Below are 15,376 nucleotides of genomic sequence, written 5' to 3' on the forward strand. Positions count from 1 at the left end.
TTGTTTGTTGAGTGATAACTGTGATTATTGAAGCATTTTTACGATGGCTGCTTTAAAAATCCTTGTCAGATAATTGCAGCAACTGATTCATCTTTGCATTGAGGTCTTCTGATCATCTTTTTTCATGCCAGTGGTGACTGTCCTAGTTCTTGGTATGATGAGTGAGTTCCTATGGTATCCTGGACATTTTGACCATTAGGTTAGGAGACTCTTGAGTCCTATTTTAAACCCAGCCACCCTGTTTAGGTCTAGCAGGAAGGCCCTAGCCTACTTTGGGGGCTGTGGTTCCAATGATAATTTAATTTTCAGAGCCTTTCTGATACTATTTTAGTCTGTGTGGTTGATCTGGTGCCACCGGGGCTTCAGCTCATCCCTGATGGTACTGCCTGCGGAGAGTGGAAGGGTGGGAGGAGAGGGTCACCAGGCTGAGCTCGTGTGGTGGCAGTGCTCCACTGACCCACGCCTGCTTGGCCATCTGGAGTTCCCTGGTGAAGGGAATTCTGCCCGTAGGGACAAAGTGTACATCCTGGGCTAGGTCATCTTGGTGGTGAGAACCCCTTGCCAGCGCTCCAGGCCCTTCAGTGTCTCAGTAGGGGAGAGGAGGGTCAGGCAGGGTGGGCAATGTGCGGATGTAATTAATGCTGTTTTCTTTTTTTTTTTTCTTTCTTGAGACAGAGTCTCGCTCTGTCGCCCAGGCTGGAGTGCAGTGGCGCGATCTTGGCTCACTGCGAGCTCCGCCTTCCAGGTTCACGCCATTCTCCTGCCTCAGCCTCCTGAGTAGCTAGGACTACAGGTGCCGGCCACCACGCCCGGCTAATTTTTTGTATTTTTAGTAGAGACGGGGTTTCATCGTATTAGCCAGGATGGTCTCAATCTCCTGACCTCATGCTCTGCCTGCCTCAGCCTCCCAAAGTGCTGGGATTACAGGCGTGAGCCACCGCGCCCAGAAAATTAATGCTATTTTCTAATGTAGGTTGAAAAAAGAGCTAGCCAGGTGCGGTGGCTCACGCTTGTAATCTCAGCACTTTGGGAGGCCGAAGCAGGCAGAGCACCTGAGGTCAGGAGTTCAAGACCATCCTGACCAACATGGAGAAACCCCATCTCTACTAAAAATACAAAATTAGCTGGATGTGGTGGTGCATGCCTGTAATCCGAGCTACTGGGGAGGCTGAGGCAGGAGAATCACTTGAACTCGGGAGGCAGAGGTTGTGGTGAGCTGAGATTGTGCCATTGCACTCCAGCCTGGGCAGTAAGAGTGAAATTTAGTCTCAAAAAAAAAAAAAAAAAAAAAAAGAAAGAAAGAAAAAGAGCCAAATTTGTCTTTTTGTCTTTGTTTTCTCTGTATTTTGCGTGATTCTATCGATTCTGAAGTATCTAGAAGGTGGACAGTGTTCTCTACCTGTGAAAGATTACTTCCATCAGTGGGCACAGTGGGTGTGGTACCCCAGCACCCTCTCTTTGATGGTATATCTGGCTGGCATGGTTTTTTGTTTGTTTGGGCTTGCTTGTTTGATTTTCAAGTGTGAATGCCTTTAAGCAGGTCATGATACTCCAGTTCACAGCAGGCCCTATGGCTTGCTTATTCATTGATTCCTTAATTGTTTATTAAGCACATACTATGTGCCAGAAAATATTCGAAGGGCTGAGGATTCCCCAGTTAGCAAATCAGACAAAACCCAAAAAACTCCCTGTGCTCAAGGTACTCACACTCTAGGGCATCTTCCAGCTTTGTCCCTGTCCAGTTTCTCCCACTTTCCTCCCTGCCTGCCTATGAACATCTCAGGCTGGGCCTTGTTCTGAGGAAGGAATGTATGGATCTAGGATCCGTTAGAGTAACTTTTACCAGTCTTTTTACTTTGCTGCTTTCATTTCATCACTACTGAAAGTAATGTGCCATATAAAAAGACAGTATAAAGGATTCACCAATATATTGATTTAGTAGAAATACTTTATTAAGAAAAATGGGCAGTGTTGACTTTAAAACATTCTTGAAAAATGCTTTATGGAGGTGATGTGTTCTCTGATGTCGGCATGACAGTTTCAAAGGCTGGAAACTATTTACTGAGGGAAAGTGGTGTGTAAAACACCAAGTAGCATCTTTGGGCCAATGTAGACCAAAAAGATCACATCCTAAGATGATTAGAAATCTTCCATGCAGAATGTTTGGACATGGTGGAAAATGTCTAAGCTTTGATTGCACAGAACCCCAGAATCAGAAAAACTTTTAAAAGTTAGTTTTAGGAAGAATTATTTCTCATTATGGATATTAGACATTATGTCAAGCAGTTAAACTGGCTAAAAACATAAACCATACTATGAAGGTTCTCAGTAGGGCTAATGGATGAAATTCCCTTAACTGTTGGTTACAGAGATGTGATGGAGGTGCCTTTCCAGGTCTCCATCATGGAGGATAAGTGTTTGCCATCGAATGCCTTGACACGTCTGCTCACAGGTCTTCACCCAGGTTTGGGGATGGTGCCCATGTCCAGTTTTTAGACCAGACAGTATAAGATGGCTTCTCCTTCCATAAAATCCTCCTGAATGTTCTTCCATTAAATACTCCAGAAGTATTTACTGATGGAGCTAAGATTTAGATGATACTAACCTGAACCAGATTTTTTTTTTTTTTTAAAGCAGCCTAGGGCTGAAATAGGCTCAAAATCTGCCACTTCCTAGCTGAGAGGAGCAGGCATGTCACAGCCCACTCAGACTCAGCCTCCTCCCTCAGCAATTGGGGGCTACAGCAGCTGCCCCCCTTGCTCACGGAGGACAGAGGGGGCAGGGTGTGCCAAGACGCCTTGCACGACCTTACCCTCTTATTTTGGGGGGATGAACACTGGTTCCTGGTGGGGGATGGTGCAGGCTGACATTCTTTTCTCTGTAACCATAGTGCTTCCACACATTCCTCACTCCTCCCCTCATCCAGCAAGAAAACACGGTGCTTACCTGATGAGCTCTACTGTTTCTGAATACATCGTATAAGGAGATTTGGATTCCATGGGGCCTTGTTCCATTGCATTTCCACACTCGATAAACGACAATGCTGCTTCAGCATAGTTCAAAGCCTTTCCAAACTTTTCCACCTGATCAACAGAGTTAATACAGTGTCTTCCTAAACAATAGTTTTTTTTAAATGGCATTGTCATGTAGTTTATACACCTTATTTGAGAAACCCAACTCTGACTTCTAAAATCCTATGAAGCTGAGAGAAGAAAGAAATAGAATACTTCTTTTCCTACTTATTTTCTCAAACTGCTACTGGCTTGGAGTAAGTGAGCGAACAGTTATATACAGAATTGTATCAAACCCATGTGACAGCTGTCAATCAACAGAGCTCAGAACTGCATGGCTGCTCTGATTTCTGTTTCCCTCTTTCTAACCCCTAATGGTTTGGCGACTTCATTCCTTGTTCCTCCATGCTATGCTAAATATGCATCAAAGTTGGTAGGTCTGGTCCCATATAAGAGTTTTCATACTTCTTTTGGTACATCCCCAACTTGGATGGTTCTAGGCCTTGGTTATTATCTTTTACATTATTTGTGGCACTTATATCTCCATGCCTTCCTCTTCTCAATTTTTTTTAATTTTTTTATTTTTGAGATGGAGTCTCCCTGCAACCTCTGCCTCCTATGTTCAAGCGATTCTCCTGCCTCAGCCTCCCACGTAGCTGGAATTACAGGCAGGCATAGGCCACCACACCTGGCCTCAATTGTTTTTTTTTTTTGTTGTTGTTAATATTTAGAACCTCACTTAAGAGTGAGAGTGAGTAGGGGAAAGGAGAGGAGATAAACCTCAAGGAGCTATTTCAGCTTTGCTAAAATAGGACAAAAAGTTGAAAATTATTAATAAAAATGATTTTTGGTTGGGCCTGGCGGCTCATGCCTGTAATCCCAGTGTTTTGGGAAGGTGAGGCAGGAGGATCACTCGAGCCTGGAAGTTTGAGGTTCCAGTGAGCTATGATCGCCCCACTGTGCTCCAACCTGGATAACACAGCAAGACGCTGTCTCTAAAGGCAAAACAAAACACATTTCTACGGGATTATCTGTAGCTGTCGAAATTTGTGTTATTCTTTCCCCACATCAGCAAGGGCAGCCACAAATCAGCTTTATATTCTTAAGATCTCATCAGTCTAAACTTATGCATCAAGTTCCTGGTTCCATACCTTACTACTCTTTGTAGGTAATTACATATTCTAACTCTGGATTGCAGAATCTCCCCAGTTTTCAAATGATTCATTCATCAATTAAAACAGAATGACATAATACTCAAATACTATTCCAAGTCTTGCCACTAAAAATACAAAAAAAACTTCATTAGTAATGATAGCTTCAAAACCAGAAATGCAGAGCAAAACTTCCTCTCCTTAGCAAATCAAAATTTTAAACTGCTTATAAAGGTAGTGTAGGCTATAATGCAACATTTCTTTTTTCTTTTTTTTTTTTTTGGAGACAGGGTCTCACTCTGTCACCCAGGCTGGAGTGCAGTGGCATGATCTTGGCTCATTGCAATCTCTGCCTCCCGGGTTCAAGCGAGTCTTCTGTCTCAGCCTCCCAAGTAGCTGGGATTACAGGTGTGCACCACCACACCTGGCTCATTTTTTTTTTTTTTTTTGTATTTTTAGTAGAAACAGGGTTTCACCATGTTGGCCAGGCTGGTCTCGAACTCCTGACCTCAAATGATCCACCTGCCTTAGCCTCCCAAAGTGCTGGGATTACAGGTGTGAGCCACCGTGCCTGGCCTATAATGCAACATTTCTTGATAACACTTTCAGATGAAGTCATTTCATTTAGTATTAATATTTCCTAAAGCACCCAATTCTGTGGTATGTGCACTCCACAAGCGAAAGCTCTTTCCAGGAACATATAATAGACTTGGAGAGAGAAAATGTACACCTACAAGACAGTTCAAAGTGCAAGGCAGTCTGTGATTACCCAACAAAATACAAAATGAGGCATCCAGTGCAAATGAGATGGAGGAAAGTGAGCTAGTGATGGGGCCGCAGAGAGGCTGGGAAGGCCACAGGGAGGAGACTGAATATGACGCCGGGAAGGAATGGTAGGGTTTGGCTAGATTTGGGGAGGATGCTGAGGGTGTGAGTGTGCCCATGAGAGTGTGTGAGAGTGAATCTCTGCAGGTGCAAAGGCCCGCTGGCTGGCAGGAGCAAGGTGTGCTTAGAGGTCAGTAGGGGACCAGCCTGGCTGGAGCAGAGTGTCTCCTCTTGGGAAATCGTCAACAGGAAAGATAGGGTTGGGCAAGAGGACAATGAATGAATAATGCTGTAAACTTTAGATGCTGGATTCAGGCAGAAAATCTCTTTCTCCTTAAAAATCTGATGCTCTTCTCCAAGAGTGGCCATTCATTGGCTTCTCCAGATGACCAGAACTGTCCATCAGACTCAGATTGTGTGGACAAGAGCTGTACCTTCCGCTGCCCTCCTCTATTTTCTGATACGTAGGGGTTATTCCTCCTGTACCCCAGTGTACATAGGCAGTGGTCTTCACGTAAATAAGTGTTTAATAGGTGACACTGGTAGCATTGGAAGAGGGGTACTGTTACTGTTTAAACATCTTCAGTATTCTGAAGGTCACTGGAAATGCCTTCTTCATTTCCAGCACCTGCCTCAATCTCAGTTATGAACACTGGAGGAGACTAAAACTGGAATTACTAGGTGGGAAGATGTCCCTTTGGACTTCATTCATTTAAGATGGAACAACCACATGATCTCTTTTAGAAAAGAAAACAAAGTTTTCCATCTCTTGCCTGAGAGCTTCAAGCTTTCCAAAACAGGAGATCATCCAAGCAAGAAAAGTTATTCTTTGAAAACATCAAATCATGGTGACTTTAGAGTCTTACGTGCAGATAATAGTTTCTGTGTTGTACAGTTTCAGAGAAAGCATTCATTTCGGCAGATACATGTGAAGAACACAAGTGTTTTTGAAAAGAGATTTGATCCTGGGACCAAGCCAAGGGTTTGTCAGGCTAACAAGAGAAAAATGCAAATCTAGATTTTACTTTTTAAAGGAAAAAAAAATACTACCGCCCACTGCCTCCACTGGCTCTAGTTACTATTCAAACCTTAGGACTAAATTGAAATATTCATTTGTCTAGGGCTTTTTCCCAGTCAGGCATTATTGGTTGAAGTCATACTTTATTGGGCTATGAACATTTGATTATATAAACATTTCTCCATTGAACAGACCCGGCCATCCTTGTAATAGATTTTATAATTACCCCAGCTATATTGTCCCAGTGATGAAGCTGCAGTACACACATAATTTGGAAGAACGTATCTGGAAAGAAAAGGGTCTCACCATTGCATCTGCTTTATGCTTCATTCGTTTAGCTTCTTGCATAAAATAATCGGCACTGCGAGGCCTACAAGGAGAGAATGATATTAAACGTCATTATGGCTTAAGTGCAACGTCTTTTTAAAATATTCCTTCCTTTCACTCAAACTTAAGGCACAATTTAAAAACTCTGCTTAATGCGGAATTAAGTGTGTTTTTTGCCTTTCCAAACTACTGCCTGTATGTCAAATACCACAATACATTTTCTCTTAAGTTAGCAATTCGAAACACACTCAACATACGCCAGTAGTCTCTATTTACAGTGGATTTAACATGGCCCCCTAGGGCCTAATTTGTGAATATATTTTTTTATTGTATGGTTAAAAAAAAAGCGAGAAATCTTATTTTAGGTAATATTTACATAAAACAATCCCCTTTTAATGTAAAGATTGTAAATATACCTCATAATAATTGTATGGCTATATATGGGTGAGTATATTTATGTATCCTTATGAAAATAAGTGTCATTTATATGCATATCTAGTACCTAGAGTTTTATGTATATATTGAATTATCTTAAAGCCTCACAGTGAAAAATAAAAAGAGGTAATGTTGGATGATTACATTCCAGTTGTAATGAAGTTAATTGTAAAATGATGTCTACCTTGTAACAATGCAAACATGCCATGTATTCTCTAGAGTTCTGATTAGCTAGCTGGTAAACATTAACAGCAGACATGTGGATTATTAAAGCAATAACCCTGGCCAGCGGTGACTCTGCCGGGAGATGAAGGTAACTCATCCAGAGACTGATTTGAGTGTGTGTAATGAGGCCCAGTTACGCTAAGGTACTCATTAGACAGTATCTTTAAGTGTTTAGCCCGATAGATTAAAAAAATGACATTTTTAGGCACCGGCAGCATAAACTTTATATAATCAATAAACTTGACCTATTCATGAATATCAAATATAAGCCAGGACTCTCTGAACGGGAGATTCGACGGAAGTAGTGATATTAATCATGGACTGTTTAGCCAATGATTACATGCTTATTTTGAACTGCCTTATTTCAGATCCTAATGGGTCTTTTACCTTATTGTAATATTAGGTAGTCAGAACATTCATGTATCCAAAGAGGTCAAAACGCTTAGAAAAGCAATGTGTGACAATGACATTGCATTTTAATCAAACAAACCAGAATCACAGCATAGTTTTGGGGTCAAAATGTTTCCTCACCCCATCCCCATGCCCCCCTCTGAGGGCTGGAGCCGTCCATTCATTGTGGTGGGTCTTTCACTGAGGGTGAGGCCTGAGGTCTCCTTCCTAGGAAGGCCCTGCTCCTGCCACTCCGTTTTCTCTCTTGCATCTCCTGGGTGCCCATGCTTTCTCCATATGAATGGCTTTGTTGTTGCCTTGGTGAGTTTTCCTTCTTTGTCCACATATTGACACATATTGTAAGAATGTCCATATATTGTCTGGTCTTTGGTTCCAACTCTGGCAATTGATGTTATTTTTGTTGTTGTTTTTTGAGAAAGGTTCTCACTCTGTCGCCTAGGCTGGAGGGCAGTGGTACAATCACCCATACTGCAGCATCAACCACCTGGGGTTAAGCGACCCTCCCACCACAGCCTCCCAGGTAGCTGGGACTACAGGTGTGTGCCACTATGCCTGGCTAACTTTTTGTATTTTTAGTGGAGACGGGGTTTTGCCATGTTGCAAAGGCTGGTCTTGAACTCCTGAGGTCAAGTGATCCACCTGCCTCGGCCTCCCAAAGTGCTGGGATTACATGGCTTCCATCACATCACCATCCTGCTCACAGACCTAAAATCAATCTCCAGGGTCTACGAGATAAAATCTCAGTTCAGATCCCCAATAATCTTGCCCAACCCACTTAATCATATTGCTTACTCACGAAGGCCCTTGACCAAAGTCAGAGGTGGCTCCTCATTGTCTTGATAACATGGCATCCTGGTCCGAGGAGCTCTGCTCATCACTTCCCCCACCTGGAACACTCTCCTCTCTGTTCATTCACTGAGTGCCTTCTAGGAGCCGAATGTTGCCTGGCCCTCAATTTCCCCCGCCGTAAGGCGTTCCGAGTAACCTTGGTCCATGTTCCCCTCTGTCCTTCCTGAGCTCACACAGCACTTCTTGTTTACTACACTTGGTATTTCATTATCTTCTGAGCTGTACTGGGCATGTGTGCAACTTGATTGCTGGTACGTTTTTAGTAAGGACCATGCTGTAGACTTCTTTGATCTTTCCCACCCTGTAGTTTTTGGCACACGGTAGAAGGTAAGCAGGTCTCCCTTGAATGAATGGCACTGAATTCATTTTGAGCTTAGAAAAGAGTGGTGCCTTCCGATGGGGTGCAGCATCGCATCCAATGAGCCAGAGAGTGTCTCCATGGCAACCTGAAATTCTCCACATCATTATCTGTTCTATACTCTAGTATATAAGTTAGGTCATTTTTTTTTTCTTGCCCTGTTTTGTCACTAACAGTTCACTACTTCAAATGCATTTCATTAAAGGATTATCTTGGTAATAAGCTATGGTATCTTAGTTTCCACCAGCCTTCTAAGTTACCCTTATGGATGGCAGTGGCTCACAATTCCTAATATAAGCTCCTTAATCAATATTGTTTTCATCTGCAGCATAGGGGCATATTTTTAAATCCTGATATGGAGGCTGAGTCACAGACTCTCACCATAGCACATGTGGGTAAGTAACACACCTAATTTTCTGACCGTATCAGAGCAGCTATAATCAGAGCAGTAACCTGAGATGCTAATAGCATAGGTACCATCTGGAGGCCACTTAACGAACACATTTGTTAGAACTCTCATCTTTGCATAGAATGGAGGGCTCACTATAATGAGTCACTGAAGATTGCCTGATGATTGGCCCATTTTCTCCTTTCGAGTGATTTCTAGTGCTGTACTTCCAGAGCAGATCATTATAAAGCCAGCAGGACCAATGGGATGTCACCCAGTGTCCAGCCTTGCCACGAATCACAAAGGCATCCCTTCTGACAGCAATACACAAGTCAGTAGGAAAAGTAAAATTGCTTGTCACCATTGTGACAGTTATAGAATATAATACAGCAAAGGTACTAAAATGAGATCTTATCTGAGTGTTCAAATAGATTTTCCATCTAATCTTCTATTTTTTTTTTAACATGGAAAACCTAGAGTTTTCATTTTTCATTTGTGTAATAAAATTCTTCCCATTGTTTCCCACAGTGATGGTATTTTATGATGACACATGAGCAAACCTAATAAAAGTTTAATTAAACACCATAAATGGAACTAACTGTGAATCATGGGCTCTTCAGAAACGGGGCTTGAGTGATCTGAAAGCCAGAGCTTAGCTGCATGCATCTTCATTATGAGAGCTCTCTCCAACAAAAGCATTCTGAGCACTTGATCCAAATAGAATGTTTTCTTTTCTTCTCTTCCCCCTCCCACCACCCCCCCCCCCCCACCTAGAAACACACGGTCTTGGTTCTCAGCAGCATCAGGGTTTGAGCTACCCCCATATTTCTTCTGGCATGGGAATATTAAAGCAACCTTGCTTTTTGTTCTCCTTTGTGGCCGGGATAGAGTTGAATGGTCTCCCACGGAGAGCCTGGCAGACTCCTTTCTGTAATTCCTACCTCTGTGAAATGCCGCCCTCAGTAGAGCCAGCCTGTTTTGTGAAAACTGGCAGGGATGAGAGCTCAATGTGTTTGAACAACAAGTTCCTCGGCGCGGCAGAAATTGGATGATTTTCTTAGGGAAGTTGAAATCCAAATCAGACAAATAGGCAACTGCATACCAAATGAATTCATCATCTGCTATCCGATATGTCAGCTTGTCATCTGATAAGCCCCAGAGGTGTTAATATGTCCCAAGCTTTGAGGAGAATGCATAAGAAATTAAGTAATTATTTTTAATACACAGAGTCAGTGAAGACTATGGATGAGGGCACTTCAGAGTCAGCCACTCCAGGATGCTGGCACTGCCTTTATAGGCACTTCCCCACAGATCCAGGTAGATTGCATTTGGGTAGCAAGGATTCAAACACAGCTTTTATTTCCACAACTTTGATGTCGGCTGGGGCTCAGAGTCCCTGGAACCGGGCTTCTCCCAGGCACAAGCGGTCATTCACTGTTTCTTCAGGCCACAGGACTGCTTCCCTCTCAGCCGGCCACAGAAGGCAGGGTTTGCTCTGCAGGACGCTCAGGCTAAGTGGGGCGGGTGTTGAATCAAAAGTAACTTTCTGTTGAAATGGGAAATTATCAATCTGATGGTTGTTTTTCTCTGAGTGTGACATTTAAAATAATCTTACAAAACCCTAAAGATGATTGGACAGCTGAGATTTCAATCCAGGAGATCTGAATGTCCTTGTCTCCGCACCCTGTCCCCCGCACCCCTTTGCAAATCCTACTTCATTTCTTTCTCTCTCTCTCTCACTCACTCTTACTCTCTCACTCTGTTTTGGTTAGAACAAAAGAAGCTCCTGGCCTTGAGACAGGGATTTCATAATGGGAGAAATTCCATATGAAGACCAATAAAGGCTTAATGATTAATCAGGAAAACAAAAAGGTAGGGTCCCTGCTTTGAAAGGACTAGGAGAGGAGACCCTCAAGAGAACATGCCCACTGCAAGCCCCTGGTGGGGGAGCGCCTTCCCAGCTGCAATTTCGCCTACTCAAGGATCTTAATTGGTGTCCTTTGACTAAATCATGCTGCTAGGGATTCAACCTTTTACAATATGCGAGTATTCCCATCCTCTATAAAATTAAAATCCTTTAGCTCTGAGACTGCTGTGCAAGTACATTACAAATGTCAAGTCCCTCTTCCTTCCTCCCGGCCACATTTCACATGCCATGGCCTTCAGCGCCTGGCGTCTATAGTCAGTCTTTCCTCACTGTCGGGAGGTTCAGGTAGCCGGGCTCCTGTTACGGGCACCATGGGGACAGAAGGGACGTTTGGTGGTTTGGCTGAATGTGCTGATTGTGACTGACTTTTCCATGTGACATACAGGCAGCAGCCAGCACTTCCTCCAGGGAGCGGCAGGCAGCCCTGGCACCTGGGGTTCTCTGGCTTCCTAGCACAGCAGAACGGTGGGCAGGATGGAGGAGGTGGTTTTCCAGCCAAGCATCTCACCACCACTTAGCCCTGTTCAGGACTTCTGTACGGAGGCCTTCATGACACAGTTGTTCTCTCTCAATTTTCCCCAGCCAAGAATTCCCCTGTCACTAATTATGATACCAAGTAACTTACAGCTCATGGCTTTGCACTAATAAGATCAGTTTCTAGGCCTCAAGTTGAATCAAGTGTTGTCATTCATTGACACAAATTCTTACAGATCCGTTTTTTAAACAAAAGTTTGATAACCACACTAGTGTCACCTTAATACTGTGGCTGTCAAGTAGTGAATGTTGTGCGTTTGCTTAATGTCAGGGGAGGAGGTGAGGTCACACTGCCACCAATATGAGCCCACAACATACAAAGGACAGGCTGACCTGATTACATTTTTAAAAATAAATGTTATTCTTCTCAGTTCTGTCTGTATCCCAAAGGAACTAACTGGTGCCTGTTTACAGGCATTATAGGGATTACAGGCACATGCTAACACGCCCGGCTGATTTTTTGGTAAGTAACCTAGGAAAACGGGCTTGGAAACCCATTAATTTACATTCACCTGCATGTAGATTCCTTATAGTCATAGAAAAAAAAAATTGCAGGCACTCTTCCCTGGGAATGTAATTTATAATTCAGCTGGGTTCATTCAACACTTGTTATTGAGAGCCTACTGGCTTCAGCTGTTGTCTGAATCCCATGTTTATTCAACCATTAACAAGTATTTATAATACAAAGAGATGAGTTTACTTTTTTAAAAAAGCTGCATGATGCGGCTTTAAAAATTAAATGACAGTGTGGCATCTGTTACTTTTTGGATCACTGTAACTGGATTTCCATCAACTCGAAATCACTCCAGTGTTAATTATCTAGTCTTTTCTTCCACTGGTGGCCTCTCTTTGGTCATTTCACTGCTTGTTTTTACAAATGGCTGAAGTTCACTCTTCACCCTCGGTGAAGAGAAGTCAAGGGAGGTGACAGGGCTGAGGTCTTCCTCTGTCACTGAGGCTGCTGGTGGGGAAGCTGGCACAGAATGGAGGTGGGCAGGAAGGAGGCCGAGAATTAAATTTAGTAATCCTAGGAAACCTTCCTGGAGAGGTCATCATGTGCCTCTCTCTCCCCTGAAGAACTGAGAATTAATTAATCATTATACTTCAGCTCTTGTGCCTGTACTTGGCACTTAGTAAGTGCTCCATATGTACCAAAAGGAACCTGGGAGACGTTTTGCACAATTTTAGGTGACATTCTAGCCCAGTGATCTCTTGAAGGTTGCTTATTTTTACTGCTTAAAGGAAGAGACGATGCCTATTTTTGCTTTTTTTTCTTTAAGATGGAGTTTCACTCTTGTTGCCCAGATTGGAGTGCAATGGCATGATCTCGGCTCACTGCAACCTCCGCTTCCTGGGTTCAAGTGATTCTCCTGCCTCAGCCTCCTGAGTAGCTGGGATTACAGGTGCCTGGCTAATTTTTTTTTTTTTTTTTTGTATTTTTAGTAGAGATGGGGTTTCACTGTGTTGGCCAGGCTCGTCTCAAGCTCCTGACCTCAAGTGATCCACCCACCTCGGCTCCCCCAAGTGCTGGGATTACAGGCATGAGCCACCGCGCCTGGCCTATTTTTGCTTTTCAAGCTTGAAGAATCTTTCCACAACTTTCTTAGTTCGATGGTTGAGTGGCTGTTTGAGTTGCATGTTTATTTTACTGTTATGGATTTCAAATCAGTTGGGACATATGGCAATTGGAATGCGACATCTATCTCTCCATATGATGGATATGTAACAGTGTTTTTTTATTCTATTATATCTATATCCATAAAAGGAGAAACAGTTTCATTGTAGCTGTCAGCCAGGAAAATTATACACATTGCTAATGGGAAGAACAAATGATAACAGCCTCTTTGTTGACACCAATAGTGACAAGATTATATTAGTTTCAGCCATAGCAGATTAAGAAACATTTCCTCTTATAAAAAGTCCAAGGGCTGCCAGCCACGGTGGCTCACGCCTATAATCCTGCACTTTGGGAGGCTGGGGTGGGAGGGTTGTTTGAGGCCAGGAGTTCGAGACCAGCCTGGACAACATAGTGAGACATGATTTTTTTTTTTTTTGAGACACAGTCTCGCTGTTGCCCAGGCTGAAGAGTGGTAGCACGATCTCAGCTTACTGCAGCCTCCACCTCCCAGGTTCAAGCAATTCTCTGCCTCAGCCTCCGGAGTAGCTGAGATTACAGGTGCCTGCCACCACACCTGGCTAATTGTTGTATTTTTAGTAGAGACAAGATTTCACCATCTTGGCCAGGCTGGTCTTGAACTCCTGACCTAGTGATTCACCTGCCCCAGTCTCCCAAAGTGCTGGGATTACAGGTGTGAGCCACTGCGCCCAGCCGTGAGACGCTTTTTCTACAAAAAAAAAAAAAAAAATTTAACTGGGTGTGGTAGCATGCATCTGTAGACCCAGCTACTCAGGAGGCTGAGGCAAGAAGATAGCGTAAGCCCAGGAGTTTGAGGCTGCACTGAGCCATGCTCATACCACTGCACTCTAGCCTGCGTGACAGGGCAAGACCCTGTCTCAAAAAAAAAAAAAAAAAAAAAGTCCAAGTACCTGTAGATCAAAGTACAATCATTTAGTTGTTGCTGTTTCTGACCTAGCTTTCTGGTTCATACACTGGAAAATTCCTTGCATTTTAATATGACATATGTGTTTGTATTTTGTGTGTATATACCATGCTCTCAAAACCACCCACTGCAAGTATGCGGTGGTGTGAGTACCTCAGGGTCTAATGCTCCTTCTGTTTGATCATGTTGTTGGGTTATGACTTCCAAATGCAAATTTCTATGTTATCCTTATATACAATTTTAATCTCTTCTTTTTACAAATGGCTGAAGTTCACATGAACAATTTATATCACTGAACCCTAATTATAAATGTAGTTGGCCACCTGACTGTACTCCCACTCCATGCCCTCCCTGGGGGGTTAATCACCACCTACCTCCCTGGCTGCTTGGCAAAGGCGATGAAGACAGTGAGAGGAAGCGGGGTGGTGAGGGCCAGGAGTGTGTGTGGGGTGGGACGCAGCTGCCACCACAGGAAGAGAAGAAACACACATGCCCTCCTGGGCTGCCCTCAAGCCTTCCTAAACCCAGTTACCTTGGAATGTGTTCATTTAACAAAACAAACAACAAATGTGGATTTGGCTTTCACCCCCAAAACCCTGTGCCCTAATTAGCTTACAGGAGTTCATGCAATACTTGAAGACTAAAACTTAGTATTTTAAATTTCCCAGGGAATTGTACAGAGGTGAATAAATAGATCATGCCGAGACTCCGGGTGGCAGTTAGGGATGGAGGAGCGGGGCGGACGATGAGGCTGGAGTAGCCACCCCTGCATGGTGCTTTCTGTGCTCCATGTGACACCCCTTAGGAGACGGCATTTAATGGATCCTAGGAGGGCCCCGCTGAGCGAGCTGTGGCATTTGTCACTGGGACTCTTGGACATGTAGAGCCATTTTATTTTCCAGTGTCCAGTGGGGTTAGTGGTTTGTAGTCTGCTCCTCAGCTGGACTGGAAGCCCTCAGAGGGCAGAAGTGCCTATTTCTGCTGCTGCTCCACCCCAGAGCTGAATTTTTCCTTGTTCACCCAGCCATGTATTTGACGCCCGTAGGACTGCTAAAGCTGAAAAGAGGATTCTTCTGCCTTCCAGGCTTGTCCTTGACACATACATTTTCCCTACGAGCCGAAATAATTTTCAGCATCATTTTATCATTTCTCATTTGTCATTTTCAGCCTCTCGAGAGCATTCCAGGATGTTGTTTTTATTCATCTTCTCCTCTTGTTTTTCCTCCTTTTAAAATGATGCTGGGAATGGAAGTTATACTTGTGTGAAACTGAAAGTGCTAGAATTGGGTGAAGGATGATGGCATTTTTCTTCCTATATAAGAATCATTTATACTATGATAAAGAATATAGCAGTTG

General features: G+C 43.4%; 1 protein-coding gene across 28 annotated transcripts in view, besides 1 other annotated feature; it reads right to left on the reverse strand.

The window, feature by feature from the left end:
* The window catches only part of AFF3 (ALF transcription elongation factor 3), a 597,172-nt gene that overhangs the window by 17,122 nt on the left and 564,674 nt on the right, over positions 1–15,376 (reverse strand). For all 28 annotated transcript variants that reach the window (NM_002285.3, XM_047444286.1, NM_001386135.1 and 25 more), the window contains 2 exons: positions 6,312–6,375; positions 2,947–3,083 (listed from right to left, as the gene is read on the reverse strand). In NM_002285.3, the coding sequence (NP_002276.2) occupies positions 2,947–3,083; positions 6,312–6,375 (201 nt within the window). The remainder of the gene's footprint in view (positions 1–2,946; positions 3,084–6,311; positions 6,376–15,376) is intronic.
* Positions 9,672–10,173: an enhancer, noted in NCBI's record as "NANOG hESC enhancer chr2:100188674-100189175 (GRCh37/hg19 assembly coordinates)". NCBI's record gives its function as "activates a minimal SCP1, AML or CMV promoter by ChIP-STARR-seq in naive H9 embryonic stem cells {active_cell/tissue: H9 hESC(naive)}" and the evidence as "EXISTENCE:reporter gene assay evidence [ECO:0000049][PMID:30033119]".

This window comes from Homo sapiens, chromosome 2, assembly GCF_000001405.40.
Source record: "Homo sapiens chromosome 2, GRCh38.p14 Primary Assembly".
Classification (NCBI taxonomy): domain Eukaryota; kingdom Metazoa; phylum Chordata; class Mammalia; order Primates; family Hominidae; genus Homo; species Homo sapiens.